The 13,805-nt window shown below is 41.9% G+C and overlaps 1 long non-coding RNA gene across 1 annotated transcript in view, besides 1 other annotated feature; it reads right to left on the minus strand.

The window, feature by feature from the left end:
• The window catches only part of LOC100506403 (uncharacterized), a 208,258-nt gene that overhangs the window by 26,835 nt on the left and 167,618 nt on the right, over positions 1–13,805 (minus strand). The window lies entirely within an intron of this gene.
• Positions 1,150–1,444: a silencer, noted in NCBI's record as "tiled region #5568; HepG2 Repressive DNase unmatched - State 12:CtcfO, and K562 Repressive DNase matched - State 12:CtcfO". NCBI's record gives its function as "represses a minimal TATA promoter and a strong SV40 promoter by Sharpr-MPRA in HepG2 and K562 cells {active_cell/tissue: HepG2 | K562}" and the evidence as "EXISTENCE:reporter gene assay evidence [ECO:0000049][PMID:27701403]".

Consider the following 13,805-nt stretch of genomic DNA (forward strand, 5'->3'; position numbering starts at 1 on the left):
ACTTTTGGATTACAAACAGGCATTACAGGGGCCACGATCATTTTTGTGTGAATGGCCTCTAGACATTTAAAGAAGAACTTGTTCAGAAAGCAGGGAGATAAAACTACAGGAGTGAGTAGACCACAACCAGCAGCAGAATTAGGGTGAAGAGAGCCAGGCACTCTCCTCGGACGCAAAATTTAAAGAGGCAACAAAACAATGCAGGAATCAAAATCAATCATGTTTTAATGTACTATTTTTTAAAAACCAAGATCAATGCTAAAAGTCATGATGAACAAAATATCAAAATTTTAAATAAAGATGGAATCAGCGTTCCTGAGCCTTAGGCATGAACAAGCTCAGCTCAGCACTGTTATAAATCCTGTCATTATTTAGACTTTGACAGTTTGTTCATCATAGATTTTTATGCATTAATTTTGATTTTAAAAATATATAGCATTAAAATATTATTTATCCTGATTACAGGCGTTTTTGTGTGTGTGTCCCCTTAAATGATATGCCTGACCTCACCCCAGAGAGATTTAGAGAAAGCTCCATGGATAACTGCTCAGGGCAGACAGAATGCCCGAGACACGGTAATTCACCGTCTGTAAAAGCCACCAAGACACCTGCGATGGTTTCTAAAGTCTTCCCACTTCAGTGTTCCTAAATTAGCTCTAAATACTTACTTTTTAATTCAGGAAAGAAAAACAAAAATCACTGGCAAAAGTCATAGAGTTAAAATAATATTGAGAAGGATTTCTAGGTTAATACCCTGACTTCCATTTCAGAGCAAAATTTTAAGTTTTCAAACAGATCTTTTCCATCTCTGAGATTCCTAAACTCTAGCATGTCTGTGAACTCCTTATTAGATATTCAACTTTCTAAATTCACAGAGACTAAGTTTCTCTATATATTCGGCTTGTAAATCAATGAAGAGTGATTATTTTAAAACAGCATAAACTAGCATTGTTTTTACTTTTGTTTCTACGCGCCAAAAAAGAGGAAATATCCCTTAAAATGAAAACAAGTTTTCTAGCCACAGGAAGAAGACAAAATTCAAGTAACTAAATTATACCTATAAATATTTTGGCTGATCGTTCTAGGGCTTGAAGTTTTAATTAATTGGAAATATTTTACACAACGTTCAGCAATAACATCTATAAACATATAAAATGTGCAAAACTTCTAAAATGGCCTGGTCGTTAAAGTGTTAAAGTATGTGCTAATGGAAGCATAGCGAGGGAGCTCTGCTGAAGATTTCTCTATATGTCCTCACTTTGCAGCATAGGAAAGATTGCTCTGCCACCTATTGGCCTTCCTTATGAAATAGATTTAATCTTACCTGGTAGCAAGCATTTACCTGTTCCTGGACTTGGAGAAAGCCTCAACTTAGCAAACTGCAAGCAACTCCATCTGGTCCTCTCTCAGGCTTTTGGTCAAGACTGGGTCCACCAAGGAAAATAGCAGGACTCCCACTGTCACCTCTGTGGACCCACTCTGAGAGGCAGCGGATTACTCCCCTCAACTGCACTTAAGAAGGCCACATATTCACAGCACAGTGGGCCAGAGGCTGTTCAACAAATGCTTGCTGGCCCCACCTGGACACAACCAGGAATTTAGGCTGAATTAACCTCTCATTCTCCGTACATGGCCTGAACACATTAAAAAAGGATGTCCTCCCCCGAGGTGTTTGGTGGACCAGGATGGCAAAGAAATATACTAATTTAGCTCATCACTGGGTCCCACCCAGGAAATTCTACGAATGTGCGTGAGTTTACTTTGACCAGGTATCTTGACCTGGAATTTCTTGAATTAACTAGAATGAGATGAACCTAGTTGGGATGGGAACATCTAGGACAAAATGATAATTCTTTTTCATTTTCTTTTTTTTTTTTTTGAGACAGGATCTTGCTCTGTCACACAGTCTGGAGTATAGTGGTGCAATCACAGCTCACTGCAGCCCCAAACTACTGGGCTCAAGAGATCCTCTTGCCTTGGCCTCTCAAAATGCTGGGATTACAGGCATGAGCCACTGTGCCCAGCCAATGATAACTCTTGATTTTCTTTTCTTGTTGATTAAATAGCACCAACCACTAAACTTTAACCAGCTGGGTCAAGTAATCAATAATATTTGTGTTTTTAGCAGGGAAATGACTAACATGTAGCTCTAGGCAGTTGACACAGTCTTCTTGGGTATCTCTACCTCCTGCCTACCCTCCCTATCCACAATGCCACCATATTTGACAGCTTCAATGACTTCTCCATCGAGCCTCTCTGGTTCTAGTCTCATTCCCCCACCCCAACATCACCGACTCCTCCTCTAAGCTGCTTCCAGAGCGGTTTTCCAAGATGCAAATCTGGTGACATCATTCCTTCGTTTGAAATTCTTCAGCAGCTCCTCATCCCCCATCAAAGGAACCTCAGATCTTTATCATGGAATATGTGACCTTCTGAGATTTTACCTTCCTTTCCAGAGTCCTTTCCCACCAATCCTTCATCAGCCTAATCAATACTAGCAGTGGGGTGGAAGGAAGATGAGAACTGGTATAGCAGGAATGCTAAGAGAAAGCATCTTTCACTTGAATATTAAAATATTCAAGGGAGAATGAAGTTTTAAAGAGTCTTTTTGAGTCCATTAACAAAGTTAATAGAACAGAAGAACATTAGATATATGAAAAGTCCATCCATGGTGTTGTGAATCCATCCTATGTACTAGAACCACAGGAGGCAGCTGCCTGGCACGTCTTTCAGAATTTTTCAGGACATAGTAAAATTATCTTCATCCTTTTGGTAGCTTCTATTTAAAACACAACTTCAAAGGTCTAATATGACTAACTTCATTTAACAAATCTCTAAACAAGGAAAATAAGGTTTGCAGTACCCTTTTGCAATGGAGAAGTATACAGAAAGATCAAAGTATTTCCAAAAGTATTATGGAGAATTATTTATGTCTTCTAAAAGATTATATCCCTGTGCAGTTTCCTATGATAAGGACCTGGATTAACTTTGTTCTACAAAGAAAGAAAGCCTGATGTATTATATGCTTTTCCACTGCCTCCTTAAGTGGAGCCAAAGAACAAAGCATTTTCCAGGAGGAATGAAGTTGTATCTGTCCTCAGAGCTGCCTAGAGATCAAAAGAATCTTTCTAGCAGTTTTATTGGAAATTTCAGAGGCCCTTAACTAATATTTAGCTTCATAAATGATGGGTGTTACAGGGTGGGAAAAAATTCCCACTTGTAAACTAATGGGTGGTTGTCAATCATAATTTTTGAAAAATGTTACTTAACTCAAATAAATATATTTCTGATTTCTCCTTGTTAGTATGATGGTTTTCAGTTTGTTTACAGGTAATCTCTCAAACCATTGCTTATTTCTTATCTGCCCAAAGGTAAATAAATTGTGGTAAAGCAGCATTCTATTTTTCAGATGGGAAAAACGTACAAATGAAACTCTGTGAGCCTATTCAACTCCTGGGGCTGCTATAACAAAGGTCCACAAACAGAGTGCCTTAAACAACAGACATTTGTTGTCGTCGAGTTCTGAAGGCTCCAAGTCCACCATCAAGGTGTCAGCAGGGTTGGTTCCCTCTAAGGCTGCGAGGGAGAATCAGTTGCAGCCTCTCCCTGGCTTCTGGGGATGCTGGTGATCCTTGTTCCTTGGCATCACCCCATCTCCACCTTCGTCTTCTCATGGCACTCCGTGTGTGTGTGTGTGTGTGTGTGTGTGTGTGTGTGTGTGTGTGTGAAAATTTCTCCTTTTTATAAAGACGCCAGATTAGGGCCCACCATAGTGACCTCATCTTAACAAATTACTCCTGCAACCACCGTATTTTCAAATGAGGTCACATTCTGGGACTCTAGGGGTTAGGACTTCAGCATGTGAATGTCGGGGAGACATAATTCAATCATAACATTCAGGTAACCATGTTTAAGGCCATGCCTAATTTTAAAAAATCAAGAATAATCGGTTGCAGCTGATGATTCCTCGTGTGACTCTTGCCTCCTTTAGTTCTTAGAGGCCCATTTAGTCTGGGGTCATCCTGAAAACTGGTGCCAGGCAAGGGAGTCTGCAGCCACAGGAGTCTAACCGCACAGGGCTGCTTTATCTGGACAGTTCATGACACTGGGGCCTGATGCTTCCTGGACCTGCTCCTTCAATGGCGTTGGCTCACATGCTGGGGCCACCATCGTCCCCTGGTGAGGTCGGCCGGCAATTTCTTCCCACAGAGTAGCTGGCAGCATCCTGTCCCAGCCCTGCCTCATTATCAGTCCTGGTCTCCTGGCCTGCAGGTCTTTGTTCAAACTCAAAAAGATGCTTGAACCAGGTGACTATACACTCACATCAAATACACAGAGAAAAATATTTTGAAGAGTAATGTTACAAAATGTGTAATTCCTAAAGTATACACGTGTCCTTATTAATTGGCATGGTTTTGATCATCTCCACATTATTTTTCCAGGTATCCTCCCAACTTGATCGTATAAACCTCAACGTATTGGAGTTCTGAGCATGCCAGTGTCCTTTCTTCCCTGGAGAGACATTTCTGGCTCTTCCCTAAATGCAACAAGACCCTGTAACTCTACAGAGTTTTTCTTATTAAACTAGGATACGTGCCAGCTGCACTTGCTACTCCACTAATAGCCACTTGAGTCCCTTTTAGCAACTATGTGATGATCAAGGAGTCAGGAGTCACTATCTCACCTCCTCCTATTTCTTCTCGGCCTGTTGGGGTGGCCTGATCTGCCCCGGACTTTCCCATTTCAGCACTGGTGTCCACGTTCTGAGACCCCTCGGTCAGGCACACCTGGACAGTCCCCCTCCTGTTAATTTACTTTCTTATATTTGAATCAACACAGCCCAAATATTATTGGCTTGTAGTTAAGCAGAATTTAAACAGATCCTATCCCTAAAACAAGCAAAAAAAGTGAAGTACACGGAAAATTAGTTACCCCTTCCTCATAATTTTTCTGGAATAATAGGGCATCAGTAATACTCCTAACAGGTAGTTTCACCCTACCTGGGCCTTGCTGGAGCTCCAGTCCTGATTCTGCAGCCGTCTTCTACACATCTCTGTTTGTGTATGCCATAGCCCTGCTCAAACCCAGGCTGTTTCAACAGCCCCAAACCTCCTGAGCTCTCTTTGTTTCCACCCGGAGCTCACCTCTTTTCTTCCTGCTCTCAGTAAAAAGGCAGTTTCCTTTCTTTTCTCCTTCTCAGTCAGCAAATCATGCTGATTCTTCCTCTCTTAATAACAATAACTTAGTTTATGTGATGCTTCCTGGGTTTACAAAGGGCTCTTGTAACCATTCAGTATTAGATCTTCATCGTGACTTAGTGCAGTGAGGTGGTGAATGAGAATTACCTTTATTTTCAGATACAAAGACCAACTCAGCAACACCAAGGCTGGTCAAACTCACATCATTAAGTACTAAGTAGTAAATACTGGCTCTTGAATGTGGGTCCCCTTTCCTACGCTGTTTCTTCTTTTTGAAAGACTCTGATGTTCTCTGTGTGTGTGTGTTTTCTCACTGCTGACACCCTAGACGAAGCTGTCACCACCCGCCACCCAGATCATTTGGCCCTCACTGGATTTCCTGGCTGGAGAGTATCTTCCTCCAGCAATCCTATATACTAGAACCACAAACCATGGGTCCCCATCATATCCCCTCTGTTATAAACCTCAGTCTCTCATCACCACACACAGGAGGAAGTCTTCAATCCCTTTCTGGTGACCAAATGCTTTCAAACCCTGCCCCACTTCTGTTTGGCTTTACCACTCGGACCTTCAAGTATGGACTCCCAATCCAGCCCACCACTGCAGTCTCCAGGAGTGCCACGCATCCTCAACCGCACGTCTTTGCTCTCCTTTTGCTGGGACAGTCCATGTTCCTTCTCTGAACAATCCAAGACCTTTTATTTCAACTCATGCATGGCTCCACCTTAAGGTCTCCCTCAACCACTCCAGCCCCCATTTATTTCCACCTTCAACCAAGTCCTGCGGCCGGTTTGCAGATACAAGTGGACTCACTCCTTACCCACTATCATCCCTTCTAGTGACCTTTATCTGCAAATTTGGTGAAAACTATGTTTTCCATTCTCATTAGCAGCTCAGGTTCTCTCTGGTCAGTAGCTATGTTCTAGGCAGTCACCCAGGGGAGACTTGGAAGGGAGCTCCCTAGGAGCACCCAAGAAACACACACAGCTGTGGCAGGCATGAGGTTTCTCCTGTAATAGTTCCATGCTGTGGGTGGGTGTTCCTCCTGCTGTGTTGCACACAAGCATAGCTCTCTGAACCTCTTTGAATTTCCACACACTACCTGACACCCTACAGCTTACAGACTTTCAATGAACTAGACTGAATTCTGTTGTCCAGAACTAAGAACTCCGAGGCATACGCTATAATGCTCCTGCTAATTTTGGTACTCCGTCGAATACCACCTTACATTATACCTTTTTCATTTAAATCTCTAATTGGTCAGATACTCCAGCCCCCAGCAGATATATGTAGCTCCTTCGGCCTTCAGGTCCACAACAAGAAACCGGCAATTGTGCCATGCCAATAATGCTATTGGGCCACAGTGGCTGAGCAGAGATCTTGGAGGGGAAGGAGGAAGAGTAAACACTAGGACATGAACCTGGAGCACCCACCCCCCGGCCTGGGACTCTGCTTTTCAGTTTCTCTGTTAGATTCCCTCCTGACTTGCCTTTCTTGGCAATCCATGTGTCTGGGTAGGAAGAAGAGCCTGGAGGTGCCTTCCACTTGGAAGGGGTCTCCAGAATAAATCAAGAGTCAAGTGGGAAATGGAGCAGGGAAGCCAGATAACCTGCCTCTGGCTTCAAGCCATGTGCTGGCAAGACACAGATAGGTTTTACACCAGCATGTTAAAAAGCTGGCACAGATGGAAACAAAAACACTTTATTCTTCCATCACAGCAGGTGTTCATATAGAAATGCATTCACTTCTTTTAATCAGGGTAGAGGTATTGAGGGAGGAGGGGGGACACAGTACAGATCAGTGTATATTGTCCAGACTCATTTCTTAATTTACATGTATTTTTTTCTAAAATATAATAAACATTGCTTTGTCATTCTTCCCCTGTTCCTCAACTGTCTTTTGTACCCATCATAAAACTTGAATCCATTGACTTGTTGCCAGGTGACAAGTACTTGCAGGCTGGGTCCTTCCCTTTGTTGTGTCTGTAGTGTTCATGGCTGGATCAGGGCTTAGGACATATCGGGGCTTAGGACATAGCAACCACCTGTGCTAAAAAAGAAGTTCTCCTGTCCAGTTTAGTTTACCAAGGATTGAACTTCCTTAGAGAGGTTTAACACCAATGCCCTGGACATAATACACCCCGTGATCTCGTCTGCTCCTGTTCAGTGAGCCTCTCTCTTTCTCTCTATCTTTCTCTCTCTCTCTGTCCCTGGAAGGGTTGCAGGAAGCAGAGCAGGGAGTCAAGGATTTGATCCATTCCTGGCCACACATGGTCATAACTAAGATAACTAGCCCTTGCCTACAACTGCAGTATAAACCACAGAAGGGCAGGCAACAGGCTCTGGGCTTCAGCCGTCACTTTGTCTGCTATCTGCTAATTGTATAAATACTGGCTGAACAAATGCACTTAACACTTTACACCTCGAAAAATTCGCATGGAATCCATTTTCATTTCTTACTTGATGAGAAGACCCCTTCCGGAGTTATGACTTTAGAAGTCTGGAAATTCAATGTGGCACACATATGCTGAGATCCCAGCATAGGAGAACTAAAAACAAACTGGGGTGATTTTTTAAGTAATAAAAACAACAATAAGAACTCTAAGCCATATACAAATAACTGATGGGGAAAAAAAACTCTTTTTAGCAAATTATATCACAGCCAAAAGTAAAATAAAATTCAGTGTTATTTTATTATTTTTACTGAATTGTAATTGTTTAATTATTATAAATGGGAGTCATTGCAAAAAAAAAAGTCATTTTGGTCATAGTAGCCCATTGATTAATAAGTTCCACTGAATGTTTAACAATATACAGAACATTTTAAACAAAAAAGAGTTAACAGCAAAGAATACATACTCCTTGATGTTGGTTTCGCTTGTAGCTCTAAATACTGATGGAAAACCTGTTCCCTGTCATAGAAAACTACTTCTCTAAGCACTTGCACTGCACTAATTGATCTTTTAATTGGCTCAGTCAACACTCTAGTCTTTCTACACAACAAGTTCTAATTGCTACATGCAACTGGAGCAACACTCAGATTATCAAGAAGACAGAGGCATCCTATCAACCTCTGCTTCAAGCAGTGTGCTGGCAAGACACAGATAGGTGTTACACCAGCATGTTAAGAAGCTGGCACAGATGAAAACAAAAACACTTTATTCTCCCATCACAGCAAGTGTTCATATAGAAGTGCATTCACTTCTTTTAATCAAACTAGGAGTATTGAGGGAGGGAGCAAACGGTATAGAGATCAATGTATGTTGTCCAGACTGGTTTCTTAATTTACATGTATTTTTTTCTGAAATAAAATAAAGGTGCCTTTGCCATTCTTCTCCTGTTCCTCAGCTGTCTTTTGCACCCATAAAACCTGAATTTATTTACTTGTTACCAGGTGACAAGTACTTGGAGGATAAGTCCTTTCCTTTTTTTGTATCTGTAATGCCCATGGCTGGATCAGGCCTTAGGACATAGCAGTCACGTGTGCTATGAATGAGTTTACGTCTAAAATTCACTCCTATTTGATGAATGTCTTTTCTAATTAAGTAATAGCAAGCAATCAGTAAAATGTTATAATAAAGCAGGATTTCTTAACGCTGGCACTATTGACATTTGGGGCCAGATCATTCTTCTTTGCTGGGCTGTTCTGTGCGCTGCAGGATATGTGGCAGCATCCCCAGCCTCCACCCACTAGACACCAGTAGTACACAGTAGCCCCCCTAAAAATCACTGCTCCTGTTGAGAAGTCCTGGACTAAAGATGCCATACATACACAGATCAGATACTTTCCTACAAAACTACGCAATTCAGGCTTATTCATTTCTTTTCGAGAAGTTGTTTTCACTAAAATAACACTCCCTGGATAGGCTCAGAAATGAAACAGAGAGGAAGGAAAAAAAGCTGATCTAAAGTGATCTAAATCAAACAACTTCAGTGGATTATTAAAAGCAGTCACAACAAAAAATGAAAATGAAACAAAAAGCCCTCGTAATCCACGTCTCTCTGAAGGAATTGTCTGGGAATTATTTAACCCTCCACCCAGCCTTTCTGTGTGTCATTCTCCATCCATCCTTGATGACTTGTCTCCTAAGGAGCTTGTTAGGAGTTCTGAATGCAGCCAAGGAGGAGTCAGGTCTCTCACTGACAATGGATTATGCTGGTGTAAAGCATGCTTTCCAATTTACAGACAGAAGAAAATGAATGGAGAATGGTTCTTTAACTCATTGATTCATTTGTGTCCTTATTTCTTCCCTCACACCCTTCATTCCTTTTTTCCTCCTTGTGTTTCTCGTCTTTCTACTTCTCTTTCTCCTTTTCCTTCTTGACTTCTAGACTCTTTCATTTCTCTAGATAAACATCAATGTTTTCTATCTAAATGCTGAAATTAAGAAATATTTTAAAAATAGTTTTGGAATTCATGGCTTTAAAAAAACACATTCAAGGCAGCAATCTTTTTTTAATTATTATTATACTTTAAGTTCTGGGATACATGTGCAGAATGTGCAGATTTGTTACATAGGTATACACGTGCCATGGTGGTTTGCTGTACCCATCAACCCATCATCTACATTAGGGATTTCTCCTAATGCCATCCCTCTCCTAGCCCCTCACCCACCAACAGGCCCTGGTGTGTGATGTTCCTCTCTCTGAGTCCACCTGTTCTCCTTGTTCAACTCTCACTTATGAGTGAGAACATGCGGTGTTTGGTTTTCTGTTCCTGTGTTAGTTTGCCGAAAACGATGGTTTCCAGCTTCATCCATGTCCCTGCAAAGGACATGAACTCATCCTTTTTTATGGCTGCAAAGTATTCCATGGTGTATATGTGCCACATTTTCTTTATCCAGTCTGTCATTGATGGGTATTTGGGTTGGTTCCAAGTCTTTGCTATTATGAATAATGTTGTAATAAACATACGTGTGCATGTGTCTTTATAGTAGAATGATTTATAATCCCTCTGGGTATATACCCAGTATGGGGTTTGTGGGTCAAATGATATTTCTAGTTCTAGATCCTTGAGGAATCAAGGCAGCAATCTTAATAGTGTAGAGTTAAACCTCTTCAATCACGTTTATAAAAATGCAATGCTTCTTCCAAAAAATGGACTTCCATTGTTGGCTCTTTAAATAACGAGATAAATTCATACACTTACATGCACATACACACATGTGCACGCGCGCACACACACACACACACACAAGAAAAATGAACTCTGGCCCATCACAGTACTTTATATGTATTTTAAAATATTTTGAACCCAAGCACTAAACACCCTGAACCCTAACTTAGCATTCTGAACTTCACAGATACTGTGGAGTGCTTTCTGTGTAAGATTGAAAGCCATTTTAACAGAGTTCCTCCTGAATCAACCCCACTGTTCCTTGCCCTTGTGCTAGCTTCCTGACTGGTGTCCAGCTGCATCTACTGTTAGGCTTCTGAGAAGCAGCACCTCTTTCCTGATACAGGTGATCCACTTTGCAGACTTTGCTTGATGAGAGTCCAACTCTGCTTGTGCAGCCTGATAAATTCTCCTGGGCTTCACTTCCCACATAGAGGGGGGAACTCTCTGTGAACTGAATCCACTGTGCCTCCCCCACAGGATTCCTGGTGAAATTAAAACCAATAATGCATCAGAAGCACATAGCACAGGGCTGGGCACATGGCCTGTGCTCAGAAAATGTTACCTGCTACTGTGCCTTTACTTTCTTATGTTGCCTCCTATTGTTGATCATTTGGATTGTTAGCACCAATACCAGCATTGTCATCCTGAACACTCAGCACTTACCATTTTTGCCACTTAGTCATGCTCAGCCTCTGCCACCTTGCCTTGCTCTTTATACTTAGAGAGCATGCCTTGTGTCCCCAACTTTATCATAAGTTGTTGCAGGATAGAAAGGAAATCACGCCTGGTAGATGTAAAATAACCCTTATAACCAGCACAGGACAGGGAGAGAGGGCTGCAGATACCTATGTTGTTTGGGTCTCTGTAAAGAGAAGCTTTGCTCACCCTGACATTTACAATGGACAGGAGCTCACTCTGTTTAAACACTGTGTGTGCAGAAGCTTTCCTGCCTGATCTTGTGTCATCCTCGCAGACCCATTTTATCTGTATTTTGCAGGGATCTGGGGCTGGCTGAGGAGAGGTGCCTGTAAATGAGAAAGCCAGGGGTGGAAGTGCACCTTGAACCTACTTTATCTCACTCACTCTTACCTAGTGCCAAGTGCTGCCCTAAATAATTCATATTTAAGTTATTTAATGTCACAACTTAATAATTCATATTAATTAATTCAATTATTTTAATTAATATAATTTAATTAATTGATTCAATTTAATTCATTTATAATTAATATTAATTAAATATGAATTATTTAAATCTATATTTAAGTTATGTAATGTCACAACTTAATAATTCGTATTATGTCATTTAATGTCACAACTGCCACTGGTGGTGGGGCAGGGGGGTTACTGTTTTTATCCCATTTTATGGATAAGGAAACACTTACCTCCCTATCTTTGTTTCTTTTTTTTTTTTTAATTATACTTTAAGTTTTAGGGTACATGTGCACAACGTGCAGGTTTGTTACATATGTATACATGTGCCATGTTGGTGTGTTGCACCCATTAACTCCTCATTTAACATTAGGTATATCTCCTAATGCTATCACTCCCCACTCCCCCCACCCCACAACAGGCCCCGGTGTATGATGTTCCCCTTCCTGTGTCCATGTGTTCTCATTGTTCAATTCCCACCCATGAGTGAAAACATACGGTGTTTGGTTTTTTGTCCTTGTGATAGTTTGCTGAGCATGATGGTTTCCAGCTTCATCCATGTCCCTACAAAGGACATGAACTCATCATTTTTTATGGCTGCACAGTATTCCATGGTATCTTTGTTTCTAATGTCCATGAATTCTAAGTCTCTCCTGCTGGGAAGAACAAGGAAAAGAAGGATCCTGAGAAGAGAAGGAGACGTGGTGCAAATGTCAGGGACAGAGGGAAGGTTTTGGCATGAAGCCACCTTGGGAAAAAGAGAGGAAGCCTAAAGAGGAGGCTCCGAAGCTGAGTCCTCCACCCGCCGTGGGAAGAATGGCGCCGCCGCACGTGCGTGGGACAGGGCGATGCCACCTGCGCTGGGTGTGTGCTGGGAACTCAAGAAACAACTTTCAGTTCTAATATAACATAATGATGAACTCAACATGGACTCAAGTCTGTTTTTCCTCCTGCTTTATTTTTAGTTAGGGTACATGCAAGCTACTCTTGCTCTTTGGATCCATGGCTGAATCTGGACACCAGCAGTGACCAGCTCTAGAGTAAAAAAATCAGGAAGGGGGCTGGCCACACTGGGTTGGAGAATCAGACTTGGGGATACCATGCCATGAGGTGTGTGGCCTCTGGGCAACAAAACAACACCAGTTTAGACTCATCTCCTTGAAACAGAAGGAAAAGCCAGGCTTGAAAACATGGGTTAGAACAAGGAATCTTGGGCCAGGCGCAGTGGCTCAGGCCTGTAATCTCAGCACTTTGGGAGGCCGAGGCGGGCAGATCACTTGAGGTCAGAAGTTTGAGACCAGCCTGGCCAACATGGTGAAACCCCGTCTCTACTAAAAATACAAAAATTAGCTGGGTGCGTGGTGGCGCGTGCCTGTAAAACCAGCTACTGGGTAGGCTGAGGCAGAAGAATCGCTTGAATTTGGGAGGCAGAGGGCTGCAGTGAGCCAAGATCACACCACTGCACTCCAGCCTGGGTGACAGTCTGAAGATAAACAAAACAAAACAACAACAACAAAAAAACAAGGAATCATGGATGAATAACTAACTTAGCATGCAGAAGATGTCAACAATACCGTGTTTAACATACCAGCTGTCTTGATTTAGGGCCTTCCAAGAGTTAATTCTCTTTCATTCTACATTCCCTGTGAGGTTTGCATTTCTCAGGTGTTGAGTTAGCTTTAAGGAGAATTCTTAGACACCTAAACCTCACAGAGAGACACCATCCTACAGCCACACGCCATTTAAGCGAACTCATTTGAGAATGTTTCAGGCTTGCATGATTGGAGTGGGTGGGGTGTGGACCCTAGATTCTAAGACAGAACCTTGCGCTTAAGGAATTCAGAGCCAAATTACAAACTGGCTGGAGAAACACCTCAGGTGGATCTAATAGGCCCACTCAGAAAGCAGAAGAAAGCTGTGTCCTAGAGTGAGCAGATCCTCTGTGGAGGAGGAGCCCCTTTGAAATGAAATGACAAAGGGTGACCAGGGTTGAGTGGAGCGTCTAGACATGGAAAGTGGTAGAAATGATTACGGTACTACAAAAGGATTTACCTCAGCCCTGGTTCAATCCTATCTCCTCCAAAGTGTCTTATTTGAGGCTTTTTTTCCCCTCTGAATACACATTTCTAGCTTCATAATAGGAAAGAAGAAGAAAAATGAATTTATTTCATGGCCAACTTTTTGTGGTGAGAGATAAGAAAAACAGACTTTTTAAAAGGTTCACATTTAGCATTTGAAGAAACTGAATTCTGAAAAACGTGAATTCCTTACCTGGGTTCACACAGCTCGTTTGGGAGGAAATGTGGGTGAAAGTACAAGTCTCTGGCAAAGTTGGAATAA

This window comes from Homo sapiens, chromosome 21, assembly GCF_000001405.40.
Source record: "Homo sapiens chromosome 21, GRCh38.p14 Primary Assembly".
NCBI classification, from domain to species: domain Eukaryota; kingdom Metazoa; phylum Chordata; class Mammalia; order Primates; family Hominidae; genus Homo; species Homo sapiens.